General features: G+C 54.8%; 1 protein-coding gene across 7 annotated transcripts in view, besides 10 other annotated features; it reads right to left on the bottom strand.

Moving 5' to 3' along the window:
- Nucleotides 1–26,203, bottom strand: part of TXNRD2 (thioredoxin reductase 2) — a 66,297-nt gene that overhangs the window by 13,984 nt on the left and 26,110 nt on the right. For 5 of the 7 annotated variants that reach the window (NR_147957.2, NM_001352300.2, NM_006440.5 and 2 more), the window contains 5 exons: nt 25,709–25,771; nt 21,872–21,942; nt 9,544–9,563; nt 8,534–8,625; nt 5,902–6,076 (listed from right to left, as the gene is read on the bottom strand). Coding sequence is in view for 6 of the 7 variants with exons in the window: in NM_001352300.2 (NP_001339229.1) it covers nt 5,902–6,076; nt 8,534–8,625; nt 9,544–9,563; nt 21,872–21,942; nt 25,709–25,771 (421 nt within the window). In the remaining variant the exon portion in view is untranslated. Of the gene's footprint in view, nt 1–4,402; nt 5,696–5,901; nt 6,077–8,533; nt 8,626–9,543; nt 9,564–21,871; nt 21,943–25,708; nt 25,772–26,203 lie in introns of those variants that run through there. The other 2 variants (NM_001282512.3, NM_001352303.2) reach the window with 1 other exon arrangement.
- Nucleotides 1,051–1,559: an enhancer, noted in NCBI's record as "H3K27ac-H3K4me1 hESC enhancer chr22:19878079-19878587 (GRCh37/hg19 assembly coordinates)". NCBI's record gives its function as "activates a minimal SCP1, AML or CMV promoter by ChIP-STARR-seq in naive H9 embryonic stem cells {active_cell/tissue: H9 hESC(naive)}" and the evidence as "EXISTENCE:reporter gene assay evidence [ECO:0000049][PMID:30033119]".
- Nucleotides 1,560–2,068: an enhancer, noted in NCBI's record as "OCT4-NANOG-H3K27ac-H3K4me1 hESC enhancer chr22:19878588-19879096 (GRCh37/hg19 assembly coordinates)". NCBI's record gives its function as "activates a minimal SCP1, AML or CMV promoter by ChIP-STARR-seq in naive H9 embryonic stem cells {active_cell/tissue: H9 hESC(naive)}" and the evidence as "EXISTENCE:reporter gene assay evidence [ECO:0000049][PMID:30033119]".
- Nucleotides 2,069–2,576: an enhancer, noted in NCBI's record as "OCT4-NANOG-H3K27ac-H3K4me1 hESC enhancer chr22:19879097-19879604 (GRCh37/hg19 assembly coordinates)". NCBI's record gives its function as "activates a minimal SCP1, AML or CMV promoter by ChIP-STARR-seq in naive H9 embryonic stem cells {active_cell/tissue: H9 hESC(naive)}" and the evidence as "EXISTENCE:reporter gene assay evidence [ECO:0000049][PMID:30033119]".
- Nucleotides 2,577–3,085: an enhancer, noted in NCBI's record as "H3K27ac-H3K4me1 hESC enhancer chr22:19879605-19880113 (GRCh37/hg19 assembly coordinates)". NCBI's record gives its function as "activates a minimal SCP1, AML or CMV promoter by ChIP-STARR-seq in naive H9 embryonic stem cells {active_cell/tissue: H9 hESC(naive)}" and the evidence as "EXISTENCE:reporter gene assay evidence [ECO:0000049][PMID:30033119]".
- Nucleotides 2,577–3,219: a biological region, named in NCBI's record as "H3K27ac-H3K4me1 hESC enhancer GRCh37_chr22:19879605-19880113".
- Nucleotides 2,810–3,219: a silencer, noted in NCBI's record as "fragment chr22:19879838-19880247 (GRCh37/hg19 assembly coordinates)". NCBI's record gives its function as "represses an EF-1alpha promoter that drives an FKBP-Casp9 reporter gene in an ReSE screen in HepG2 liver carcinoma cells {active_cell/tissue: HepG2}" and the evidence as "EXISTENCE:reporter gene assay evidence [ECO:0000049][PMID:32094911]".
- Nucleotides 3,386–3,590: a silencer, noted in NCBI's record as "fragment chr22:19880414-19880618 (GRCh37/hg19 assembly coordinates)". NCBI's record gives its function as "represses an EF-1alpha promoter that drives an FKBP-Casp9 reporter gene in an ReSE screen in HepG2 liver carcinoma cells {active_cell/tissue: HepG2}" and the evidence as "EXISTENCE:reporter gene assay evidence [ECO:0000049][PMID:32094911]".
- Nucleotides 6,702–7,340: an enhancer, noted in NCBI's record as "H3K27ac-H3K4me1 hESC enhancer chr22:19883730-19884368 (GRCh37/hg19 assembly coordinates)". NCBI's record gives its function as "activates a minimal SCP1, AML or CMV promoter by ChIP-STARR-seq in primed H9 embryonic stem cells {active_cell/tissue: H9 hESC(primed)}" and the evidence as "EXISTENCE:reporter gene assay evidence [ECO:0000049][PMID:30033119]".
- Nucleotides 12,874–13,810: an enhancer, noted in NCBI's record as "H3K4me1 hESC enhancer chr22:19889902-19890838 (GRCh37/hg19 assembly coordinates)". NCBI's record gives its function as "activates a minimal SCP1, AML or CMV promoter by ChIP-STARR-seq in naive H9 embryonic stem cells {active_cell/tissue: H9 hESC(naive)}" and the evidence as "EXISTENCE:reporter gene assay evidence [ECO:0000049][PMID:30033119]".
- Nucleotides 17,361–18,560: an enhancer, noted in NCBI's record as "BRD4-independent group 4 enhancer chr22:19894389-19895588 (GRCh37/hg19 assembly coordinates)". NCBI's record gives its function as "activates an origin of replication core promoter dependent on BRD2, P300/CBP, MED14 and CDK7 cofactors, and independent of BRD4, by STARR-seq in HCT116 cells {active_cell/tissue: HCT116}" and the evidence as "EXISTENCE:reporter gene assay evidence [ECO:0000049][PMID:35650434]".

Here is a 26,203-nt window from a genome sequence, read left to right on the forward strand (position 1 = left end):
AAGGCTGAGGCAGGAGAATCGCTTGAATTCGGGAGGTGGAGGTTGCGGTGAGCCAGATCGCGCTCCTGCACTCCAACCTGGGCAACAGAGCTAGACACCGTCTCAAAAACAAACAAAAAACAATTATTATTATTATTATTATTATTAATTATTTGAAAAGAGGTTTCACTCTGTTGCTCAGGCTGGTCTTGAACTCCTGGGCTCAAATGATCCTCCCACCTTGGCATTCCAAAGTGTTGGGATTACAGGCATGAGCCACCTCACCCGGCCCTTTAACAATTGTTAACATAATTGCAATTGTAACAGGTTGGCTGCCCCAGGGCACCTGCAGACATTAGAGGGTGCATGGTAATATGCATAAATGGTGCTGACCTATCTCTAGAAGACTTTTCACCATGTTGTTCTTTTTTTTTTAATTGGTTTCCACTCAGTTCTAATCATTAAGTACTGAATTTGTCATGGTAACAAGACCCAGTTGGACAACCATGTATGCAGGTGCCGGCTGGCCTGTCAGATAGCTGTGGGCTCTGGACATAAGTGTGAACTAGCCCTCAAGCCAAGCGTGGGGCACCAGGCTGGTGGGTAAGCACAGGGCGCTGCCTCCTGCTACTCTGGCCTGGCCTCTGTGAGGTGTTAGCACCACCATGAGCTAGGGCTGAGCCAACAGTGCTGTCTCAGGAGCAGCAGCGCACGCCCGGGGCCACGTGGTGTGGAGGGGAAGGCCGCAGCCACCGCTCATAGGAAGAGCTCCATGAATGTTCATCTTGGCCCCACTTCAAAAAATATCAAACTCACAATGGAGGCAGATTTGGGTCTCTCTTGATGTCATTAATTACAAACTAAATTTGCACTAAAATAAAAAGGTGTTAGACTATCAAAGAGGGGCCTCCGATCCGTGTCACCTGCTCAGGGATGGCCACTCCACCCTGAGAGCATGGAGGCATGTGGATGCCAGGGTCACTGCTGGGCCCATCCCCACCGGGAAGAGCATAGCCACAAACTTGGTTTCACGCAGCTGCAGCAAGGCGCATCCCTGAGAGCAGTCCTGATGGGCCCACCGCAGCCCCCTCGCCCGGGCAGCATCCACACCCACCGCGGCCCCTAAGCCCCAGCTGCACCCACACCAGCACAGAGGGCATCCAGGAGGAGCCGCCCCTTCCCTCTCACCAGGCTTAGGATGCTCCCACCCATCCCCAGCTTGGTTCTTGCTTTCTGCCCTTTCCTGCTGCCTGGCACTCAACAGAGGGACAATCCGCAGGGACTTGTGTAGCTGAGTCTGCGGTGTACGGGAGCCATCAGCCGAGCACAGCTGAGCAAAGACAGTTGCCTGCCGTGTACATGCCAGCAAACAGTGCCTGGGTGGAGAGAGGAGCCCAGGGCTGCAGCCCACCCTGGCAACAGCTCCCCTCCTGGGCACCGCCAGCCCCCATCATCATCTCCTGGGCACCCCAGTCTCTCTGGCTGTGGTCCAGGCACACGTGCCACGTGGGGGAGACTATACAGGGGCAGGCTGTGGGGGTGGCCTCTGTGTGGTGCCAAGAGGAAGCCGGGAAGCCAAGCTCCCATGCTCCATGCATGTTGTGTTTCAGGCTCTGATGCTGGTTTACACACAGGTGGACATCTCTGAGTTATCTAAGATAAAGCCCAAAGAGGAAATAGCTTCAGTGGCTGGGGTAAGATCCAGACGGATTCCTTCCCTGGGTCTCGTCTCACCTGCCATATCACAAGGCCCCAGGCAGACCTGTGGCCACCCTCCCTGGCACTCAGGCACAACAGCTGCCTGGCTGTGGGACCCCCAGGTTTAGCGAGTCCCCTCCTGTGTCTGCTGGCTCTTCTGGCCATGGGCAGGACTCCTGTGGTGCAGGGAGGGATACGCCAGAGCCTTCAGCATCTCACCCTCAAGAGAGGGACAGAGAACCATCCAGAGGGGCTGGGGACGCCAAAGGGGCACATGAAGATCTCAACTTCCAGTTTTTCAGGGCTGCAGTCCAGAGGCAGTCTGTCCCTTCTTTAAAACCAAATCTAAACTTAACTGCACTTAGAAGCCCCTGCACTGGGAGGCGTTTGCTCAGGATGCCCCAGCCTGGCCCTGCTCCCCTAGACAGCCAGGGATTCAGGCCACAACTGGTTAACTCAGCGGGCGAATTCGAGCCCGCAGCAGTGCTGGCTGACTGTCTTCACTCAGCGCTGTAATCGGCACATCTGCAGACAGGAAATCCTCCTCACTGAAGTTCCCAGTCTATTATCTGAGACACCTGGTGTGGGCGGGTGATTCAGAGACAAACAATGAGCGGGGGCCCCCTGCACAGCAATTAACTGCTTTAACTGCTAATATGTTTAATCCACCACGTGGAGATCAAGGCTGCGTCGAGGAAGGGGCTCTGGTCCTCCTCTGCTTCCAGACTGCAGGGCCCACTTCGCAATGCCAATGTCCATGGTCCTCGCCAGCTGCGGCCAGGCGCCAGGCACACGGGCAACGGGCAGGGCCAGCACTCGGCCCCACACGGGAGCTCTGTGCAGCACCTGGGCCCCTTCTGTGTGTGTGTGCACCGGGCACGGAGGCATCCCCCCTTCCTGTCGGAGCCCAGCTTGTGCGGACGTAGTGCACACCCGGTACAGGAAGCAGAGTCGGAGATGTTGGCATTGCCAGCTGTGCCGCCCCTAGGGCGCTTTATTTTAACCTCCCAGAGTGGATCATCCTTTATTGCAAGTAGAAATAAAGCTTGGTTAAAGGCTTATCGTACAAACCAGCAGAAAACGCTCGCAGTTGCTGACCTGGGAAGTGGCTCCTGAATGTTTACAAAACCTGGCTCTGAGCAGCAGCGAAGTCAGCACATGCCCGAGCGGCCCCCAGCAGGCGCGCAGAAGCCGCGCCGCCCTCGGGAAGCAGGGTCAGAGGCCAAGGACTGTGAAAAGCTTCCACCCCCAGCATCAATCATGCCAGGCAGACTGTCTGGGGGATGCTCATTTTGAAAGTACAAAAAAATAAAACAGACTCCTAGCAAGGGAGGATGGGCGTGCAGGCCACGGCAGCTCTGCTGAGTAGGGAGGGGCCTCGCTTGTTGCCTGCCAGGCTGACGCCCCGGCTTTCCGGGGACACAGCCCCCGGCCCATTGGTCTGCTACATCCCTATGGGCTTGGTCGAGGGCTGCCCCTCGGTTCAATGGCAACAGCTCCCTTATGCTGTGGGTGAACGGAGGTGTCAGCAGACAGAGGAGGAGGGCTAGGGCGCGGTGGGAGGGAGAAACTCGCCACCTCCCCTTTAGAGTGGAGTTTATTTGGGAATGACAGTAGGAGGATAAATTTTGAAAGAAAAATAAAGTGGAGTTTAGGATGAGAACCATCAGTACACTCCAGAGTCCAAAATGTTACCTAATCCTTCGTAGTGTTTATCATAATAAACTTACTTAAAATCTACTTTTACAACGTGGCTGAGAACATTGCTCTTGCTGACTGATCACCTCCGGGCCAAGAGCCCTGCGTGCGCTCAGGCATCTCAGGTCCTCCCCGGTCATCACCTCTGCGCTTGTGTCCACTGCACAAAAGTGAAGCCTCAGCCGCTCCAGGCTGGTTTCCTTTCTGATTTCCCATTCCGAGTGACTGCTTCAGAAGTGCATCACCCTATGACACAGCTTGTGCCTCTGGGAGCCCTCCCCCAGGAGACACTGACCCCTGGCCAGCCCCACGCAAGCCCGGTTAGCTGATGGAGGTGGAGGCAGGTGATCTGAGAGGGACCCTGGCTCTGATCTTGGGCTCTCGCAGGGGACAACGGACCAGGCTCAGCACAGAAAGGCCTCGGAGAACTAACAACACTGACTAGGTTGCTCCCGCCTTCAACATGCAAGTTGACAGGGTGATTGGGAAAACTAGGAGCCTAAACTAGACGGCCAGGCACCGAGGTGGGTAGGACATCTGAGCAGGCATGCTGTGTGTGCCGCCACCCACCCTGACGAGGACCCGCAGCCCTCCTTGCGGCGGCCCATCTGCAATGGCCTCCTCTGCAGCAGGCCTGGGACAGAGCAGTGTCTGGGCGATCCCTGTTGGCTCCAGCTGCCCCTTGCCAGTCCCGTCAGACAGCCCCGGCCCAGGCCTGGGCACAGGTATCCCCTGGCTGTGTCCACACTCCCCACACCTGCTCGGCCACTGCCCCATGCAAAACCGGACCTACACCTGACAGAGAGCAAGAAGGTGAGACCAGACTGTGCCCAGCAAGTTGTAGCCAGCCCACGCCTGGCCGGGAAACGCCCAGGCCTCTGCCCAGCACTGGAAGGGTGATGTCTTTGGAAGCCTTCGAAATGTGACTTCTGGAAAGGCCTGCAAAATGCCACTCCTGGCATGTGATGACCTGCCAGGCCCAAAGGGACCCACTGGGAAACACTGAAAGCCACGAGAAGGCTGGACAGAACTTTAAAAACTCTGTGTCATTTTTATGTGCTGAAAACAGGCGGCTTGTGCACACCCATGTTCACAGCAGCATGATCCACAACAGCCAAAAGACGGAAGCAACCTAAGTGTCCACTGACAGATAATGGACACACATACAACTCAGCCTTCAACAGGAAGGAAATGCTGGCACATGCTACACAAATGCTAACTCTAACAAATGCTGCAACATGGATGCACCCTGAAAACATTGTGCTAAGAGAAATGAGCCAGTCACAAAAGGACAAACACTGCATGATTCTACTTACATGAAGTCCCTCGAGGAGTCAGATCCATAGAGACACACAGTGAAGGGTGAGTGCCCGGGCAGCAGGGAGTGAGTGTTTAATGGGGACAGAGCTCAGTTTGGAGATAATGGAAAAGTTCTAGAGATGGATGGTCATGCTGCTTGTACAATATGAACGTACTTAACACCACTGAACTATATACTTTAAAATGCTTAAGATGATGAATTTGATGTTATGTGTATGTCACCATAATTTTTAAAACTTTCAAATCCATATCATTTTTATGTTAAAAACAACAAACTAGCTTGGCTGGGCACAGTAGCTCAAACCTGTAATCCCAGCACTTAGAAGGCTGAGATGGGAAGATTGATTGAGCCTGGGAGGTGGAGGCTGCAGTGAGCTATGATCACACCACCACACTCCTCCTAGGCAACAGAGAGAGACCCTGTTTCACACGCAAAAAAAGAAAAAAACCTAGCTGGAAAGCCTGAAGCAGCAAAACATTTAATATGCTAAAGAAAAAATACATACTGGCCAGGTGCGGTGGCTCACACCTGTAATCTCAGTACTTTGGGAGGCCAAGGCAGGTGGATCACAAGGTCAGGAGATTGAGACCATCCTGGCCTACATGGTGAAACCCCGTCTCTACTAAAAATACAAAAATTAGTCAGGTGTAGTGGTGGGCGCCTGTAGCCCCAGCTACCCAGGAGGCTGAGGCAGGAGAATCGCTTGAACCCGGGAGGCGGAGGTTGCCACTGCACTCCAGCCTGGGCGACAGAGCGAGACTCCATCTCAAAAAAAAAAAAAAAAAGAAAAGAAACATACCAAGACTTAAACCTGGAAGGTGACAAGTAGGATTTATGTGCTGAAACCTTAATAAGCAATTGCTCAAGGGCCAGGGAAGGCGAGGATGATTGCCTAGTTGATCCTCGATGAGGACACCTGGCTGATGCCGTCTCAGTCTCTTCTCTGGTTTTTTCCAGCATGTCCCACGGTGGTGGGGAGACACGCAGAGATGCAAGGTGCTGGGGATGGCAAGATGGGCACAGCCTAGTGTGAGTGCCGCCCCACAGGCCTTCACGGTTGCTCTCGAGGTGCACTGGGGAGCGGCCAACCCGCCTGGCAGCCAGCAGGATGGGGGAGCCCTGGGAGGTGACAGGAAGTGGGGCAAAGATTCTCCATGCACCTCGGGGAGACCAGAGACAGAGCGTGTGGCTCGACGTGCCCTTACCTATGGCCCACAGGACGGTGTCAAAGGTGCCCGTGTCCTCCTTGCCGGTGGTGCTGTCCTCCCAGGTGACCTGCAGCTGGCCATCAGGGAGCCTCCTGACCCGCGAGGGGGCACAGCCCCTCAGGAACCGGGTGCCATGAGATGCCATGTGCTCTATGACCATGGAGGACATTTGCTGCAAAGCACAAGAAGACAGGCCATGAAGACCAGGTGGCCGTGGGAGAGAGGCTCTGGCCCTGCCCTGCTCTCGAAGGCCTCAATGAAGGGCGGAGAGGGGTCTGTGCGGAAGACGGGGTGAGACACCCTGCCCCCTGCTCTACGTCCTCTTGCTCTCTGTGGAGTGTCTAGCCCCTGTCCTGGCTCCAAGTCCTCAACCCTGGGCCCTATGGTCAGGATTCACTCAGCCTGTGGGCTCCTCTCTAGATGCTAATTAACTAAGTCTTCATCAGCCAGATACGGTCACACCTGTAATCCCAACCTTTTGGGAGGCTGAAGTGGGAGAATCCCTCAAGCCCAGGAGTTTGAGGCTGCAATGAACTGTGATCACACCACTGCACTCCAGCCTGGGCGACAGAGTGAGACTCTATCTCTAAAAGAAAAAATAAGCAAGGCCGGGTGCGATGGCTCACACCTGTGATCCCAGCACTTTGAGAAGCTGAGGCGGGCGGATCACGAGGTCAGGAGATAGAGATCATCCTGGCTAACACGGTGAAACACTGTCTCTACTAAAAAACACAAAAAATTAGCCAGGCGTGGTGGCAGGTACCTGTAGTTCCAGCTAACTGGGAGGCTGAGGCAGGAGAATGGCGTGAACCCGGGAGGTGGAGCTTGCAGTGAGCCGAGATTGTGCCACTGCACTCCAGCCTGGGTGACAGAGTGAGACTCTGTCTCAAACCAAAAAAAAAGAAAGAAAAAAAAGAAAAACAACCAAATCCTGGTACATCTACACATTTCTTTAAAAAACAAAAACAAAAAACTTAGTCTTCACTAAAACCAATGGCAGAGAAGCGTGCCTTCCCCCAGGAGCTGTGCCCTGGTCCAACAAGATGGCCCCTGCTCCTGGCCCACCCCTCCACATGTGGCCAACATGCCCCTCTGCCATCCAGGAGCCAGGAGGGTAGGTAGGAGACTCTGCTCCCGCCTAGAAATGTAGGCACAGCAGGCTCAGGTCCAGATCAGGGACAGAGAGAGTCCTGCTTCTCCCTCCCGGCCCAGGAGGCCTGTGCGCCCCAAGTCCAGCTACAGATGGGGGCCCTGTTCCCAGGACAATGGGGACTTGCACGGACCAGCAGTGAAGCTGGCCACAGCTTCTGGTTTCAAGAGGAGAAAAACAGTCACTGCTAACATCCTCTGACACCTGTGCGGGTGTGCCAGCTGGCTCTAGATGGCGTGTGTGGGAGTCTGGCCCGCCGGGCAGGGCTGGCTGTGCTGCAGAGGGGCTGCCGCACAGGCTGTTCATCACTCCTGCACCCCTCCAGAGGCCTGGAGGGCATGGCCATCCCAGGCTCTGAGGGAGAACCATGGAGCCTGTCCAGGACACAGGGTCCCTCGCCCCTCAGCCTGGCTGCCTAGACTGTGCATCCTCCTTGCCTGGGCACGGCCCCCATTCTGCAGGCCCCTTTCCTCCTCCGTCCACTGCCAGCTCACCCTCCCCACATCTGAAGGCTCTGAGGCCTTCCTAGACACTGCGTCCCTACCACAGGGCTCGGTGGGTTTGCACTGAGGGACATGATGGGAGTGTGCCATAGCTTTAGGATGGAACAACACATGGCCACACGGGTGGAGGGACACGTCTCTGAGTCAGCCTGGGGGTGGCACTGGGAGTCTGGAGATGACAGGCCTGGCTCCTCCCACCTCAGGTGACCTCCTCAGGCTCTGTGAGCTGAGGGTCGGCCGAGGACCTGTAGCAGGGCCTGCAGATCTGCACAGCTCACCCTGCAAGGGGCCTCCTTCGTGGCAGTCATGGAGTGTTTGACATCTCCACAATGACAACTCCAGACTTCTATTTTAACAGGAGACTTTCCCTTGAAGAGTTTTTAGCTAAAAAAAGAAAATCTCTATTGCTCCAATCTAGGAGCTCGTCCTGCTGGCCACATGAGTGTGTGTACCCCAGACACAGATGAAGGCCACTGTACACAGCGCACCTGTCCAGAAGCCAAGATCCCACGGGCTGTCTCGGAGCCAGCGCTGCCCTGTGTCCCTCACCCCAGCTCACACATTACAGCTTATTTCACCCCCACTCCCTCAGAGGGGACAGGCAAGGGGAGAGCAGGGAGTTGGGGGTCTCTGAGGTGGGGCTAACACTTCTGCAGCACACACCGGCCTCTTACTAATGGGACGACCCGGAGGGTGACCTGCTCTGCCGGCACAAGGCTGGGCTGAGCCTCCCTTCACTGTGCCTGTGGTCGGCTGGAGGCCTCTGTGCAGCTGTGCGCCCCACTGCCACCCTCCTCCCTCGCTCCGGCCGAGTGTCTGCATATTTCCTGGACAACCTCCTCATCCAATTCAAGGGTTATCTCTAAAGATTCAGGCATCACTCGTGGCCCATGACTGCACTGCACCTGCCTGGGAGGGGGCTGTGGGAGGAAGGCCTCAGAGCCACAGGGGCGGGAGCTGGGGCCTCCAGCACTACCTGGTCGAAGCCGCGGAGGGGGATGCTGCGCATCATGATGGTGGTGTCCAGCCCAATCCCGGTGAGGAAGCCAGCACACTCCAGGGCCACATCTGTGGGGTGCCAGCTAAGGAGCACTGTAGATCCCAATTTTGGAAATGATGGGACAACACCCCAGGGCCCTGTGCCACAGCCCACACCCCACCCATCCATGGCTGGCCCTGGAGGAGGCTCCCAACTCAAGACCCCCACCTCCACATCTCAAGTGCACAGGCTGGGGTTAGCAAGGAGCCGCCAAGCAGCACCCACGGACTAGGCCGGCCTCTGGCCTCTGCTCCCATGTGCTGTCCATCCCGGCTCCAGGGCGAGGCCTGCATCCTGGTGGATTCCAGTTGGGATGGAGAGGAGTGGCTGGTTCAGGGAGGACCTCAGCCACGGGAGATGCCAGGCAGCTGCTTTCTTCCACCTGTGCTCTCAGCCAGCGGCTTGGGGCTTTTTTTTTTTTTTTTTTTTTTGAGATGGAGTCTCATTCTGTTGCCTAGGCTGGAGTGCAGTGGCATGATCTCAGCTCACAGCAACGTCTGCCTCCCAGGTTCAAGCGGTTCCCCTGCCTCAGCCTCCCAAGTAGCTGGGACTACAGGCATGAGCCACCGCGCCCGGCCAGGGACTTTCATCTCCCTCAGATGTCCCCTTGACCCCAGGCCCTCCTGCAGCTCCTCTCCTGACCCTCCCTGTCTAATTGTCCCTTCTGAAGCAATGGGTCCAGGCTGGGGCTGCTCTTGAGGGAGGACAGCCCAGCTGCCTCATGGCCATGTCCAGCTGTCCCAGCTCAGGAAGAGCCTCCAGGAATCCCTGGCCAGAGGTCAGCCTCAAACTGTCCCCAGGCACAGTAGATCCTCCACGCCGAGAGGCCCAGTAAGTGCCGATCTGAGGCAGCAAAGAGCCTGCCGGAAGGGCGGGTGGCAGGGAGGGACTCAAGGGAAGGAGTGTCCAGTTCCCAGGACGGCCACCTGCACGCTTGCAAAGGATACAGCTGGCCCCGACCACCAACCTGTTAGAGAAACAGAGAGAGAGCACATGTAAAGCTGAGGCCCTTATTGACCAAGTGCAGTCAGAGCAGAACCCCGCAGCCTTTGCCCAGGCCCTTGGTCAGCTCGTGGGCTCCAAGGTTACTGTTCAAACAGCTTGCCCCAGGGGACAAAGCCCACTTTCCAAGGCTACACTGTCAAGCATGTTGTGAATCAGCAAATCGCCTGGTGGTGAAGGGCGTGTGTGTCAGTGACAAGTGGTACCTGTCCCCTGGAAGGCACCCGGAGGCATGGAGAAACATCCACCAGAGCAGCACATGGCTTTCCTTCTCTCCCCCCGGGGCCTCCTGGGCTAGGGTGGAAGCTGGGAGATGCTTGGCAGGATGGGGAGGCCACCAGACCGCAAGGGAAGACATCATCTGAGCAAAGCACTCTCAAGACCACAGAAGGCTGGGCCCTTCCATGTGCCAGAGGCACATCCAACCCTATCACAGCTAGGCGCAGGGCCAGGAGGGCCAGCTCCCCAGAGAGGGGACTGAAGGACCCCAGGGACAAGGGAGGCAGCACAGGACACTGCGACCAGCAGTCATTGGAAATATTTGCTCTTGTAGTGAAAACCCTCTATTGTTCAACCCCACACTCCACATGTGTTTTGCATGCACATGTACTCACGCACACTTGTATGTGCACACATGCCACACACCTGCATGCACATACTCTTACACGGGCACAAATGTACACACACACGCACATACTCGCATGGGTACATTCATTCATATATACATATGCACACACTCATGTAGACACATGCATGCACACACATGCAAACGGGCACAGAACCTAACACGAACAAGAACTCCCAGCGGGGCAGCTGCACGTGGGTGGGCTCCCACATTACCCTTCAGTCTTTGAACAAGAGGAGGTGATGTAAGGACGGATAAGCCCAATGTCATTGCTAATCCCAGCAGGTACTAATGATATAATTCCATTTCAAAACACGGTGTATCCCTTGGAATCATTCTGCAGGTGCCCTGCGGGAAGCATCTGGCATGCAGCTTCCTCACTGTGGCTGGGGACAGAACCGCACCACTGTCAGGATTAGGGTGAGCAGACAGAGCTCTGTTGGCCGGCTGAGCACAAGGTGGTTACATGCCTCACTCAGCATGTGAGGACAGCGAAGGGGGACCCTGGGACCCCCAGCCAAGCAGGATTGCAGAGATGCATTCCCAGCCCCGCTCAGGGCCGGCAACACTTGGGAAACAGGCACCACGGTATGCACGCACTTCCACACATGCACACACACATAGGCACCACATACACATCTCTACACGGAAGTGCACTTCCAAAATGGCGAAACCAAACTCTTTTTGGACTTGCTATATGCAGTGAAAGGTACAAGCTTTTGTTTAAGATATGAAGTTATGGCCAGGTGCGGTGGCTCACGCCTGTAATCCCAGCACTTTGGGAGGCCGAAGCAGGCAGATCACGAGGTCAGGAGATCGAGACCATCCTGGCTAACATGGTGAAACCCCATCTCTACTAAAAATACAAAAAATTAGCTGAGCATGGCGATGTGCGCCTGTAGTCCCAGCTGCTGGGGAGGCCGAGACAGGAGAATGGTGTAAACCCAGGAGGTGGAGCTTGCAGTGAGCCAAGATCGTGTCACTGCACTCCAGCCTGGGCAACAGAGCAAGACTCCATCACAAAAAAAAAAAAAAGATATGAAGTTATGAGTTACTGCAAATATAAACAGAACTCTGCTGCTTTGCATATCCTGCCCTAAATGCAAGGGTGTAACTGGGCGAGAGCCCATTGTGTGGTGCCCTTTGCCCCCTGCTCCCAGAGGTGGCTGTGCATGGGCTAGATGCTTCCTGCTGGGCTGTGCAGGCACTGGCAGAGTGAGGCCAATGCATCCCCTCTGTGGGCAGCTGGGCCCCTGCACGTCAGGGCCTTCCTGGCCCTGAAGGCCAACCCTTCTCCAGGAATGGGCCCTGCAGCTGCAGGATGGGGGCCAGGCTGCTCTCCGGGCCTCCTAGCTCATTGCTAGGGATACAGCAACACACCCTCCTGATTTTGCCACAAATGTTTGCTGTCTCTGCCACCGACGTGTACATCCCCACCTCCTACACGATGCTGACCCACCAGGCCTGGATTGGAGCGGGGGCAGGTGACTCTCCAGGCCCTCCCTCGGAGTCCCCCAGTGCCCGGGCCTCCTGTCCTGGCACCCACGGGGCACAGGAGAAGCTCCCGCCTCAAGGGCCACCTTCAAAGTCACAGGTGCCCCCATCCCTCAGCTGCCAGCTCTGAATCAGCAACTGAGGGTACAGCTAGGAGGAGGTGGGTGCAGTGGGCATATTCCCGAGTGGGCATCCTTGACCCTATGTGTTCGGCTGAAATCTCTCAACAAAAGCTCACGTCTCGCTCGTGTGGAGGGTCATTTTGGGCCTCTTCTTGTTGTCATGAGCAAGGATTATTGACAGCATTGGTTTTCACTGTACGCCTCCCCGCATTGATCAAATTATGTGAATGTTTACCCTTTGAAGAATGCAGGATACGAGAATTCCAACAGAGAACTCCGTTCAGACCAGCTAAAGTAAAAAAATGCCCGAGCAAAATAAGACAGACACCAAAGCCTCCAGATCACAGGGATAGAGAGTACCCAAAGACAGGGACCTACAGACACCTTCTTCAGGCCATTCACGGCCCAGCAGGGGTAGGGACAGACAGGAACGTGGTGCAGCAACCAACTCAAGCCATGACTGGCCACAGGAAGTCAGAGGTGCTGGCCACAGAAGTCAGGGGACCAGCTCACAGGACCTGGGGGTAGGGGGCTGGAACCACTCAACTTACCGCTGCATTAAAAGACCCAGAGGTTGGGTGCGGTGGGTCATGTGTGCAATCCCAGCACTCTGGGAGGCCAAGGTGGACAGACTGCTTGAGCCCGGGAGTTCAAGACCAGCCTGAGCAATACAGCTTGTCCCCATCTCTACAAACTAAAAAAATTACTGGGGCATGGTGGTATGCACCTGTAGTCCCGGCTACTCGGGAGGCTGAGGAAGGAGGATCACTTGAGCCTAGGAGTTTGAGGCTGCAGTAAGCTGCACTCCAGCCCGGGAAACAGAGTGAGACCCTGTCTCTAAAACAAACAAAACAAAACAAATAAAAATCAGTTTTCCATGTGATCCCAGCAGCTCAGCTCTCTGTGCTTTTTGGTGTGCAAACATTTTCCAAAGAGGCATAATAACTACTGCAGGATGAGCCTAATCACAGGGCAGGCTTTCTTGTTCAAAATTGGAATGGGGGGAGGAAGCAGAAACAAAAGCATTAATTCAGGCCCACGAAGCCTAGGCTTAAAGAGCAATCCATCTGCCTCTTGAGCTTGAAGGCCTGCTCTCCAGAGGGAATACTCACACAAAGTGAGTCTCATGGGAGGCACCTGGCCCCTTGGAGGTCCTGCCAGCCCAGGAAATACCAGATGGGCCGCCAAGCTGCAGATGCCCCAGGGAGGCAGCACAGGGCTGGGGGTGCTACGAAGGCCTCCTTCCCCGGCTTGGCTGGAACCCCGCCGCCCCACCCAACCCCTCAGGGGCAGATGCTGGGCCGGAGCCTCTGTGTGCTGGCCCTGTAACAAATGCCACTGAAAGCCCTACCTTGTCATGTCTTAGCCACAGGGACGCACACAGAGAGGTGGCGGGGGCTTTGCAGTCTGGTAACAAGCCCCAGGAGGACAGCTGGTCTCCCTATTGCTGAACACAAGGACATCCCATCACACCAGCGGAATGTGCCACTTAAATTAAATTTTCTCCCAAATGGCTGTGGTTCTTCCCAAGATAAAATTTATCTTCTTCCCTCTTGTGCTTAGGAAGAGAGAAAAATGATCGCAGTACCTGGCTGGCTTCCGGACTTCCTAAGGGTCAAATAAAAGCTCTTTCCATGACACACTGACAGGCAGCCTTAAACCAGCCCAAGTTATAAAAACACTCTGCCTCTTGGAGCCCCAGGAGTGCGAGGACAGACAGCAGCAGGCTGGTGGAGCAGCCTCAGAGGGTGGACAGGCCTGGCTGGCTGCAGCCCCTCCCCCAGGGCCCAGTGTGTGGGCTGGTCAGCCCCTGAGCCAGCCTGGCAGCTGCAGGAGAGGCTGGCCCCATGCTCTGTAAACCCCCACGGGGACCTGGGCAGGGGCTACAGAGCTGGCAGCAGGAACAGGCAGACCCTGGTTGTTTCCGGGAAGCAGTACCTCCGTTATCGGACCTGAGAGGAGGCTGCGGTCTCATTCACGCCCTCGGCCCCATCCCAGTGTTGCCAGCTCAGAGCCCTGCTTTGCAGAAAGCGGACCTACAGACACAGCAAGAGGGAGGACTAGAATAGAGGGACCACAATTCCCTATATTGGGGTTAGGGCACCTGAGCTCCAAAACCTGGCACTGAGGGAGAAGACGAAGCCCAGGGCCGTGGGTGTGCAAGAGGCAGAGACAAGGCACACTGGCGGGGCCCAAGTCCCTGCCGGGTGCGGAGGCTTCCCGGTGGAGGCAGCCCTCCAGGTCAGGAAGTGGCAGGAAGATTGTGCGGCTGTGGGACTGGAGTTGGAGCTCAGCTCCTTGGCCCCCCTTAATTGCCAGGCCCCTCTGGGCCTCGGGCTCCTCTTGGCTGCACTTGGATCCCGACCCCCAGTGCCTGCCTCTGTAAAGGAGCTCCCCGGTGTGGGCTCACCATCCTCGCCTTCCACATTCCTCCACCTGCCGGGGGCTTGCTCTGTGGAATGGAAGGTTTGGTTTGCAAGGCTGCATGCCCCCTCTGAGCCTAGTCATTTGGGGTCACGTGCCCCTCCGCACCCCTGCCTCCCTGCAGTGGCCATTGTTCCCAGAGGGGCTCCACTGCCTGCCCAGGGTCACTGTACCTCCCCAGAAACCTCCTCTCTTCTTCAACCTGTCTTGCAGTTCCAGAGAAGGAAAGACACAACACAGCAGAAAAGGCAAACGGGCTGGCACAAGGCGGGCATCTGCATGGCAGAGGCGGAGCAGGAGCCGACCTGGAGTCCTTCCCAGGGTCCCCACCAAGACTGGGAGGACAGTCCCTTGCGCCAGGGCGTGGCTATGGGAGTGGGGCAGCCAGAACGTCCCCCGCCCCACCCCAGTGCACTCAAGGGTCCTGCTCACCCACCCACAAGCTCACACTGCTTTTTCAGGAGTTTTCTGAGTTTTCTGCACGTCTTCCTCACCCTCCTAGGTTACAAACCAGGTGCTCAGCCCACTCTGGTCAACAGGTATGGCCCCATTTTGCCAGCATATGGCTGTTTAGTGAAGTGCACTGTTTAATTCTGTCTCCCCTTGACTGAGCTTGGACACGATCCCCCTGCCTCTGCCATCTGTCCAGCCCTGGGCTCCCTAAGACCTGGATGCAAACAAAGGAGGAAGGGGGCTCCCAACTTGGGGCCCGAGGTGCACTGTGATGCCTGAGTGGCCTCTCTGGGGCAAAAGTGGCATGGTACGACCTTGCAGGCTGGGTCCCAGGCCCCACTGTGGGCACCACTCGCCAGATCTGGAGCTCCCGGCAGTGGGCCCCACACAGACGTGCGCTGAAAGGAGTTCCTGGTGGCAGCCTGTGCCTGTAGTAGAGAGGGACGAGGGAGGCCTCGTGCACGCCGCAGAGCCCACCGAGGGCCTGGGGCCAGGGGGACAGGGAGCCTCCTTGGTGGAGGAGCCAACCAGGGGACAGAGTGCCCACTGCAGGAGGGGCACTGTGATGCCAGGCACCGTGAGTTGCGCACCTGGCCTCCAGGATGGGACCAGGTAGAAATGTCCCACCCGACTACGGGAGGCACTCAGGGGCCAGGGGAGCAGCCCCGGGGTCCATATTAATTTCAGCTCCATTTTAAAGGCGAGTTAAAATAAACATGGGGAATATTTATAAGGCAAATAAATCTGGCAGAAACAGCCCCTCCAAGTGTGAGTGGAGGCCTCCCCTCAGCCCCAGCCCAAGCTGATAAAATACAGAAATGCTACTGTAGACCCTCCGGGCTTATTTTGACTGCAGCAGAGGAATGTAACATGTAAACACTGACTCCCATATTACACTGTTACAACTTGCATTAACAGCGCCGGACAAAAGCCGCATTTTCACAGAAGCATCGTACAGGGATATATCTCCAGCTTAATTTTTAAAAAAACCATTTCCTCACATAAATCATGCTCAGAATGAAACGGGTGACTGATACATTGCAAACACTTTTTTTCTTAAACAATAACATACCTAGATTCCTTCTAAACGAAAGAGCTTTAAAAAAAATCTTCTAAATGTTTTTTTTCTGAAGAAAATAAACACTGCAGTTTCTTTTCTGAACAAAATATCTGGAGCTGTGTCTTCCCGGCCGAGCCAGCTGCCCCCAGCACAGGGTTGCAGAGGAGCGCTCCCCAAGCCCCAGCCACCTTGCTAGGGAGACAGCAAGGCCAGGGCACCCAGAGCACCGGGCCCCCTCCCCAGGCCCAAGCGGGCAGCCTCTGAGGGGAACAGGCACAACGAGGGTGGTGAAAGTGCTGGGCTGCAGTGACCGTCACCGAAGACCCCAGTACATCGAGGGGCCCAGCAGACATCCTGGGGCTGCCAGACATCCAAGGCCATTTCCCTGAAGGTCCAGCAGACAAAGCATCCTGCAGGGGCTGGAGGGGCATCCAGACTCCACCCAGAGAAGCCTACGTGAAAGACAACCAGAGGCACAGGCAGAACTCAGGACGCCGAGTGAGAACAGTGCCTCGAGATGGGCACTGGGGCCCGGGCAACCCATCTCCACCACACCGCAGAAGAAGTGCAGCCAGCCCAAGGAAGTAAAAGAAAATCCGACTTGTGGACGCCCATAAGGAAAATACAGGGCTTAAAAAAAAAAAAAAAAAATCTTGGGGGTGGGGCAGGCCTTTCTGAACATGCAATAAATCAAAAAGCCACTAAGTGTAAAAGATTTAAGTTACATTAAAAAAAACTTAAACCATTTGTACATCACACAAGTTAAAAGACACTAGAAGCTGAGAAAATCTGCACCACAAGCGACAGAGGATCACATCCCTAATACACAAACCAGCTGGAGGGTAAGAAGAGATAAGAGAAGAGAAAAGCCAGACGTGAAAGTGGACAAGGACCATGCTGGCGATTTGTGCAGCACACATGGGCATGCTCACAGACACGCTCATCTCAAATGAGGCTGTGACACGAGGCTTTTCAGGTAAATGTGTGAAAAGACCACTGATCACAGCAAATGCAAACAGAGTCAGATCATGTGTAACTCAGCAGATAGTCAAAGATTAAAAAAACAGTCTGGGTGCCGTAGCTCACACCTGTAATCCCAGCACTTTGAGGGGCCAGGGTGATCACTTGAGCCCAGGAGTTCAAGACTAGCCTGGGCCACATAGCGAGTCCTTGCCCTAAAAAAAATAATCATTAGCTGGGCGTGGTGGCGAGCGCCTGTAATCCCAGCTACTCAGGAGGCTGAGGCAGGAGAATTGCTTGAATCCAGGAGATCAAGGCTGCAGCGAGCCATGATCGCACCACTGCACTCCAGCCTGGGCGACAGAGCAAGACCCTGTCTCAAAGATAAAAAAACAGATAACCCAGAAATTATGGCATAACAGGAAAAAGTGATTGGTGTGACAACAGAAAAACTTAAAATTTCTGCATGAAATACTATCACCAAGTCCAAAGACAAACCACGATCAGTGGGTCCAATGGAAGGCAGCAGGCAGTCGATGGAAACCAGCACAAGCTCAGCACAGTCTCAGGAGAGTGTGGGCGCCGTGGGTAGCAGTGACCACTCTCAGGAGAGTGTGGGCGCCGTGGGTAGCAGTGACCGCTCTCAGGAGGGTGTGGGCGCCGTGGATAGCAGTGACGGCTCTCAGGAGAGTGTGGGCACCGTAAGTAGCAGTGACCGCTCTCAGGAGAGTGTGGGCACCGTGGGTAGCAGTGACCGCTCTCAGGAGAGTGTGGGCGCACCGTAAGTAGCAGTGACCGCTCTCAGGAGAGTGTGGGCGCCGTGGATAGCAGTGACGGCTCTCAGGAGAGTGTGGGCGCCATGGGTAGCAGTGACGGCTCTCAGGAGAGTGTGGGCACCATGGGTAGCACTGACCGCTCTCAGGAGAGTGTGGGCGCACCATGAGTAGCAGTGACCGCTCTCAGGAGAGTGTGGGCGCCGTGAGTAGCAGTGACCGCTCTCAGGAGAGTGTGGGCGCCGTGGGTAGCAGTGACCGCTCTCAGGAGGGTGTGGGCGCCGTGGATAGCAGTGACCGCTCTCAGGAGAGTGTGGGCACCGTAAGTAGCAGTGACCGCTCTCAGGAGAGTGTGGGCACCGTGGGTAGCAGTGACCGCTCTCAGGAGAGTGTGGGCGCACCGTAAGTAGCAGTGACCGCTCTCAGGAGAGTGTGGGCGCTGTGAGTAGCAGTGACCGCTCTCAGGAGAGTGTGGGTGCACCGTGGGTAGCAGTGACCGCTCTCAGGAGAGTGTGGGCGCCGTGGGTAGCAGTGACCGCTCTCAGGAGAGTGTGGGCGCCGTGGGTAGCAGTGACCGCTCTCAGGAGTGTGGGCGCCGTGGATAGCAGTGACCGCTCTCAGGAGAGTGTGGGCGCACCATGAGTAGCAGTGACCGCTCTCAGGAGAGTGTGGGCGCCGTGGGTAGCAGTGACCGCTCTCAGGAGAGTGTGGGCGCACCATGGGTAGCAGCGACCGCTCTCAGGAGAGTGTGGGCGCCGTGGGTAGCAGTGACCGCTCTCAGGAGAGTGTGGGCACCGTGGGTAGCAGTGACCGCTCTCAGGAGAGTGTGGGCGCCATGGGTAGCAGTGACCGCTCTCAGGAGAGTGTGGGCGCCGTGGGTAGCAGTGACCGCTCTCAGGAGAGTGTGGGCACACCATGGGTAGCAGTGACAGCTCTCAGGAGAGTGTGGGCGCCGTGGGTAGCAGTGACAGCTCTCAGGAGAGTGTGGGCGCCGTGGGGAGCAGTGACCGTTCTCAGGAGAGTGTGGGCGCCGTGGGTAGCAGTGACCGCTCTCAGGAGAGTGTGGGCGCCGTGGGTAGCAGTGACTGCTCTCAGGAGAGTGTGGGTGCACCGTGGGTAGCAGTGACCGCTCTCAGGAGAGTGTGGGCGCCGTGGGTAGCAGTGACTGCTCTCAGGAGAGTGTGGGCGCCATGGGTAGCAGTGACCACTGCCCAGGCCAGGGGTATGGGAGGAGAGGCTCCTTTCTGTTTTGTGTCTTATCAAAAAGCTGATGCCTGAGTTACCAAGGACAGGGAAGCAGGCAGAGTACACATGGAATTGGCCTGTCAGCACAAAGTGTTAAGACGGAAGGGCAGCTCCCCTTGTAAAGCGTATAAGACCACCTCACAGCCACTAGGATGGCCACTGTCAAAAAAACAGAAAACATCAAGAAAACAGTTTAAAGGAAAAAATAAAAATTAAAGAAAGAAAAACAGAAAACAACATGCACTGGCGAGGATGTGGGGAGCCCAGAGTCCTCCTGAACTGCTGGTGAGAATGTAAGATGGTGTGGGCGCTGTTGGGAACAGGATGGAGGTTCCTCAAGACCATAAGATCCAGCAATCCCACTTCTGGGTTTGCATCCAAAAGAACTGAAAGGTCTTCAAGAGGTATTTGCACACCTATGTTCACGGCAGCACTGCTCACAACAGCCAAGAAGCAGAGGCAACTTGGGTGTCCACTGACAGATGAATGGATAAACAAAATGTGGTGTGCCTGTACAATGGAATATTACTCAGTCTTAAAAAGAAGGAAATGCAGATACAACATGGATGAAAAGAGTTCCAGACATGGATAGTGGTGATGGTTTCACGACATTATTAATACATTTAATACCATTGAACTGTATACTTAAAAATGGTTAACGTGGGCTGGGCGTGGTGGCTCACCCCTGTAATCCCAGCACTTTGGAAGGCCAAGGCAGGTGGATCACCTGAGGTCAGGAGTTTGAGACCAGCCTGGCCAACATGGTGAAACCCCATCTCCACTAAAAACACAAAAAATTAGCGGGGTGTGGTGGCAGACACCTGTAGTCCCGGCTACTCAGAGGGCTGAGACAGGAGAATCGCTTGAACCCGGGAGGCAGAGGTTGCAGTGAGCCGAGATCGCACCACTGCACTCCAGCCTGGGCAACAGAGTGAGACTCTGTTTCAAAAAAAAAAAAAAAAAAGGTTAAAGTGGTAAATTTTATACTATGTCTGTTTTATCACAATGAATAATTGGGAAAATGTGTCAGAAGCACTTCTGATGGTAAACAGATGCACCTCCAAGGTTTTCACTGCAGCATTGATAATGATGAAGAAGAGAAACTACTGAGATGCTCATTAACAAGAGAAAGGTCAAAGGAACTATACCACATCCATTCAAGGGAATCCAGTCCTGACCCCACACAAAGATGCCCCGTGAAGTGTGAAACAATGACAAGCAGAGCATGTGACACACCACTCACACACACACACACCACTCACACACACACACCACACACACACATAACCACTCACACACTACTCACATACACACACCACACACACACACCACACACACCACTCACACACACACACCACACACACCACTCACACACCACTCACATACACACACCATTCACACACACACCACTCACACACACTACTCACACACACTGCTCACACACACCACACACACCACGCACACACACCACTCACACACACACCACACACACCCACACCCTTCACACACACACACCACACACACCACACACACACCACTCACACACACCACTCACACACACACCACACACCACACACACCCACACCCTTCACACACACACCACACACACACCACTCACACACACCACTCACACACACACACACCACACACCCACACCCTTCACACACACACACCACTCACACACCACACACACACACCACTCACACACACACCACACACACCATTCACACACACACACCACACACATCTGCACGCACACCATGCACATTCGGGCACACACAGAAGTGGGACCCTTTTCCACTGATATTTTCTCCTGGGGAAGGCTCGAGACTGCTATTGACCAAGCCTCTGCCGCCCTCTGGTGGTCTCTCTGCTCCCTGCCAACATGAAGTCTCCACACCCCACAGGCAGGAGCTGCCTGGACCTGGGACCTCGGGATGGCCCACTCTGTGGGCATCGGAATGCACTTAGTGACTCTGCACCTGCTCCCATGGGGAGTGAGAGCCACTTGCACGCTGCTAGCCTCCCTTCCACAATCAAGATGTTGTTTCTGAGGCCTTTGGAGTCTTTGCTAGATTTCAGGGAAACCCAATGTACAAATCAGAAGACAGTGAGGGTGTTAGATGAGGGCTGGGATAGGGATTGCTGGCTCTCCCCTCCTTAATGTTCTCCCTGATGTCCTTGAGGGGACCCACTGGAACCCCAGGGCTCCTGGGAACCCCATTTGACAACCACTGACCTAGATAACAAACAGCTGACTCCATTTATATGGCAGTCCTGTTATTGTTATTACCTCCAAGGCAGCCACAGGACAGAGTAAATCAACAGCCCTGCAGAGGGGCACAAGTCACAGGTTTATTGTTTAGTTTTGAGACAAGGTCTCACTCTCCCAGGCTGAGCGCAGTGGTGCAATCACAGCTCACTGCAGCCTCAACCTCCTGGGCTCAAGCAATCCTCCCACCTAAAGCCTCCCAAGTAGCTGGGACTACAGGTGCACAGTACTATGCTCGGTTAATATTTTCAGATTTTTGTAGGCTGGGTGTGGTGGCTCACGCTTGTAATCCCAGCACTTTAGGAGGACGAGGTGGGCGGATCACCTGAGGTCAGGAGTTCAAGACCAGCCTGACCAAGATGGTGAAACCCCATTTCTACTAAAAATACAAAAATTAGCCAGATGTGGTGGTGGGCGCCTGTAATTTCAGCTACTTTGGAGGCTGAAGCAGGAGAATCACTTGAACCTGGGAGGCAGGGATTGCAGTGAGCCAAGATTGGGCCATTGCAATTCAGTTTGGGGGACAGAGTGAGAATTCACCTAAAAAAAAAAGCCAAAAAAAAAACCAAAACAGATTTTTGTAGAGTAGAGGTCTCACTATATTGCCCAGGCTGATGCTGATCTCGAACTCCTGGCCTCAAGCAATCCTCCCGCTCAGTCTCCCAAAGTGCTAGGCTAACAAGCATGAGCCACCACACCTGGCCACAAATAACAGGCCTTTTTTCCTTCTTTTGGGTAAACCGGAAAGAAAGCCCCAGGAGCCCAGCACCAGCACAGGCTCTAAGGGTCCAGTGCTCACTCTGGTGAACAAAAAGAGGACCCCACCAAGCACGCGCAGGCCTTACGTTTTTCCAGGGGATTCCTTCAGCCAGAAGATGTCATCACTTGTGATTCCATATTCCAAGGCACCTTCGATCTGTCAAGACAGAAATGACCCCTTGGACAAGAGCTCCATTTGGCCTGTCCTAGGGCTTCCTTAAAGAGGATGCCAGCTTTGCAGAATCAAGCAGAGCTTTCCCAGGGCACACATGCACAGGGCTTCCCTGCTGCCAGTCCTTGTCTGCAGGCTGTGGCCTCTTTGGGGCTGCAGGTGGCCTGTCTGCATCTAAGCTGCTGCACTCCAGGTCCCGGTGCCCTCGCAGGGTACCTTTCCCCTCTGTTCCCCAGGACCCTCCCCTTGACCCTGGTTCAGAGCAGGATACAGGGCCTGAGGTGGGTACAGCAACTGCAGGGGCCATACAGGCAGACAGCTGGGACCCCTCAAGTCTGCCCGGGTTCTGGACAGACACATCAAACAGACAGGGGCATGCAGCCCCAGGGAGCAACACCTGGGTTCTGGGGGATCCAAACTCAGAGAGAGGAAGTGGGGAGAGAACAGGTCAGCAAATCAGGGCCAGCAGAGCTCAGGTGTGTCTGCGCGGCAGGGGTGGCCTACAAGGCCAGCCAGAGGAGAGGAGGCACAGGGGGTAAGTGCCACAGGCTGAGGTGGGCAGGGACTGAGGGGCAGCTCTGAGGGCACCTGGCTGAAGCCAGGACGGACTTCACACTCTCGAGGGCTGGCCCGGGTGGGCTCTGAGCCCAGAAATCATACAGGTCACCTGAAGAGGGGCGGCCAAGCAGGTGGGAGGCCCAGGGTGAACGTCCCCTTAGCGGCCATGAGAACAAGATGTGCTGGTGGAGGAAGCGGATCTCAAACAGTTTATGCTTCCAACTGGCAAAAAAAAATAAAGTCAGGAATTTCTCAGGTTTACTCAAGGAAAACCGAAAGGTCTGGCAATCAAAGGGACTAAAACGCAAGCAAGCCTTGGCAGACACCCTGGGAGGGCGTGGCAGGGAGAGCGAAGCAGCCCTGAGCTGCCTGCCTCCTAAGGACCAGGAGCGCCTGCTGGATCCCCTGTGAGCCCAAAGAGCCGTCAGCAGCTGCCCGTGAGGTGCAGAGCAGGGCCGGGCCAGGCCAGGGCCCCTGTGCAGTGCTCCCTGGTGCGGATGCACGTGCAGCTCTGCCTGGGGCCTCAGAGAAACCCAATGACCGCTGGGCTGCTGGAAGCTGGCTGTGGCCTTCTTTAAGCAGAACCACCATGAGCCCAGCTGCCAGGAGAGGGGATCACTGGGACCCTGTCTGCAGCAGCTGCCTTGAACAACTGCACAGTGTCATCCTACAAAGTCACGCAGCCCTGAGCCCCACCTCTGTGCATAAGCAACCTGCCCCCTCTAGAGGCTGCTGTGGCTGCCTGGCGGCCAGACAAGTCCCACGGCCTCTAAGGACTGGGGGTGCTTGTGCTCCTCGGGGCCGCTCCTTTCCCTGTTTCCACAGTAAGCACAGGACGAAGTGGAGGCTGGGGTCACATCCAAGAAGTGGCAGAACCTCCCCTTGCTCTGCCTCCACCGGACTGCCCCTGGGTCTAAGTCAGAGGTGGTGTGGCCTCCAGGCCGAGAGAGCCGTGGTCTTCAAGAGCTTGGCTGCAGCCTACTTAGAGGCTTGGAGCAGGCGGCACACGGTTCCCTGGGAGACCCGTGGGGACTGGTCTCAGCCAAACCTCTCTGCTCACCCCCAGCCCATTTGCTTTCCCTGCTGCAGCTGCCCCCCAACCCCTCACCCCGGGGCCCCTTCCTCAACTCTGCCCCCACAACCCACAAGACTGGGCCAGGAGTTATTCACCTCTCTGTTAAAAACAGCGATAAAACTGGCAAGAACTGGGAGATTCAGAATTATGGAAATTAACCACAGGCTTGCAGCAACACAGGGAACATTTAAAGTCAGGAAAAACAGCTGAAGCTGAGTGAGAATGGGAACTCCAGGGTGTTTTAACTCACTCTGGTCCCACTCCCACCTCAGCGGCAGCCCTGAACAGTGATGTGTCAGAGAGAGCAGAACTCAGCTGGGGTCTTTCAAAGCCCCCCCACAAAGAAGAGTCAGAGTCAGCAACTATAGGGTCATCTTCATCCAACTTCACCGGAGCTCAGCCAGGGCTAAAAGCCTTTCTCTGGGGGCATTTGTCTGAGGTTTTCTTCTCACAGCTGCCTGAGGGGATAGGTAACAGTTAGAGCCAACAACAGACTGCCCAAAAAGCTTCAAAGGAAAAGCCAAAGTATGAGATGTCTGCTGGAGCTTTGAAAGGTTCCAGCATATTCCTGGGAACCTAGGCCAGGCGCATGCACAGCACTGTGCACACATCAGGAAGGACCAACGAGGCCCTGAACCCTCACCTCCAGCTGACCTTGATCTCTGCAGAAGCAGGAAGTGAAGGCTAGGGCAGAGCTGTCTGCTGCCTGTTGAGTGTGGAAGGCATCCCCTCCAAACGCACACAGAGCCCTCAGCAAAGACCGGGAGAGTTCTTAGTTTAGGGAAATCTCCATGCAGTTCTTAGCTGACCACTAAGCTAACCAAGTAAAGACTTCAGTGGCCACATACATCAAAGAATAAGAGTCTACAAAGTCAGTTCCGAAAAGTCACCAAATAAGCAGCTGTAACAACAGAATCCTGGGGCAGAGGGAGAATCTGGTTTCCAAAGTTATCGCATTAAATTATTTGAAATGTTCAGCTTTCAATAAAAAAATTACAAGATACGTGAAGAAACAAGAAACCATGACCCTTACACCCCACTGGAAGGAATGTAAAACACAGTCATTGTGGAAAACAGTCTGAGGTTCCTTGAAACGTTCCTTGAAAGATTCAACATAAAGTTACCACATGACCCAGCAGTTCTGCTCCTAAGTGTAACCCAAGAGAAGTGAAAACTGAAGTCCACCAAAAAACTTCTTTGCAGATGTTCACAGCGGCACTATTCATAATAGCTAAAAAGTGGAAATAACACATGTGTTTATCCAAGCAAGTAGATAAACAAAGTGTGGTCTATCCATACAATGGAATAGTATCTAGCCATAAAAAGGAATGATACTGACACACACTACAATGTAGGTGAACCTGGAGGATGTTATGCTCAGTGAAGTAAGCCAGTCACTAAGGGACACACACATACGAGTCACTAAGGGACACACACGTACCAGTTACATGAGAAGGACTTACATGTACGATTTCACTTACACGAGGTGCCTAGTGTTGTCACATTCATAGAGACAGAAAGTAGGTGGTGGTTTCTAGGGGCTGGGGGAGGAGGCGCTGGGGAGTAGGGTTTAATGGGAATAGTTTCAGTTCAGGGATGATGGAAGGAGTTCTGGCAATGGATGGTGGTGACTGATGGCCGCACAGCTCTGTGAATGTACTAAAAACCACTGAATTGTACCCTAAAAAAGGCTAAATTTTATAGCGTGTGAATTTTATTTCAAACTTTTTTTAAACTGGGGGACGTGAAGGAGGAAGATGAAGAATGAGGCTTATATCCTGAATGTTCCAACATTCTGAGGCTGAAGGGAAAAGGGGGAATCAGCAATGGAGACTTAGGAAGCAGGATCCTGGTGTGGAAGGGGACAGATCCAGCGGGGCAGGGGGAGAGCAGAACGAGAGCTGTCCTGAGGATCTGGCAGCGTGGAGGCCACTGGGGACCCCACATTTCAGCAGTGTGGATTCAAGAGAATTGGAAAGCAGAAAGTGATGATAGTGAGTATAGGGGGAAAGGGTGTGCAAGCTGCTGCTGTGGGAAGCACGTGTGTAAAAACGTATCCCTCAAAGAGGCCGGGAATGGGCCACGGCAGCAGGGACGCTATGCTCTGGGGACACTCACGTGCGTGGGGTATCTCGGCCGCCCTCCAGTAGCAATGATGATGTGATCGGCTGACAGCAGAATCTGAGGAGAAAAAGAGAAAGCCGTGGGTCAGACAGGTGCATGGTGATCACCCCACCGGAGGGCCTGAGCACCACAGACCTTGGCCAGCAGTTCCCACGGCCCCTGCCCTGTAGCGTGGACCCTTGGCCAGCAGTTCAGAGGCCCTATGGAGCTGGAATCCCATCAACCATCAGCCTGGCAGGAGGGGGACAGGCAGAAAGCACAGGGAGATGTTCTAACTCCAAGCACTTCAAGGCACCCTCAAATCCCCAAAAAATCCTGCAAAAAGGGTGTGGTCACCAACCCTGTTGCCATGCCACTCCGAGCAGCAGGGCAGCAAATTATTTGATCACGTTAAAGACAAGTGCCCAGCCTCAAAAGAAGCCACCTTTTTGATTCCAGCAGCACGTGTTACTAAGAACAGCACCCAGGCCAAACACAGCTGCAGTTGGT

The sequence above is a fragment of the Homo sapiens genome, chromosome 22 (assembly GCF_000001405.40).
Source record: "Homo sapiens chromosome 22, GRCh38.p14 Primary Assembly".
NCBI lineage: Eukaryota > Metazoa > Chordata > Mammalia > Primates > Hominidae > Homo > Homo sapiens.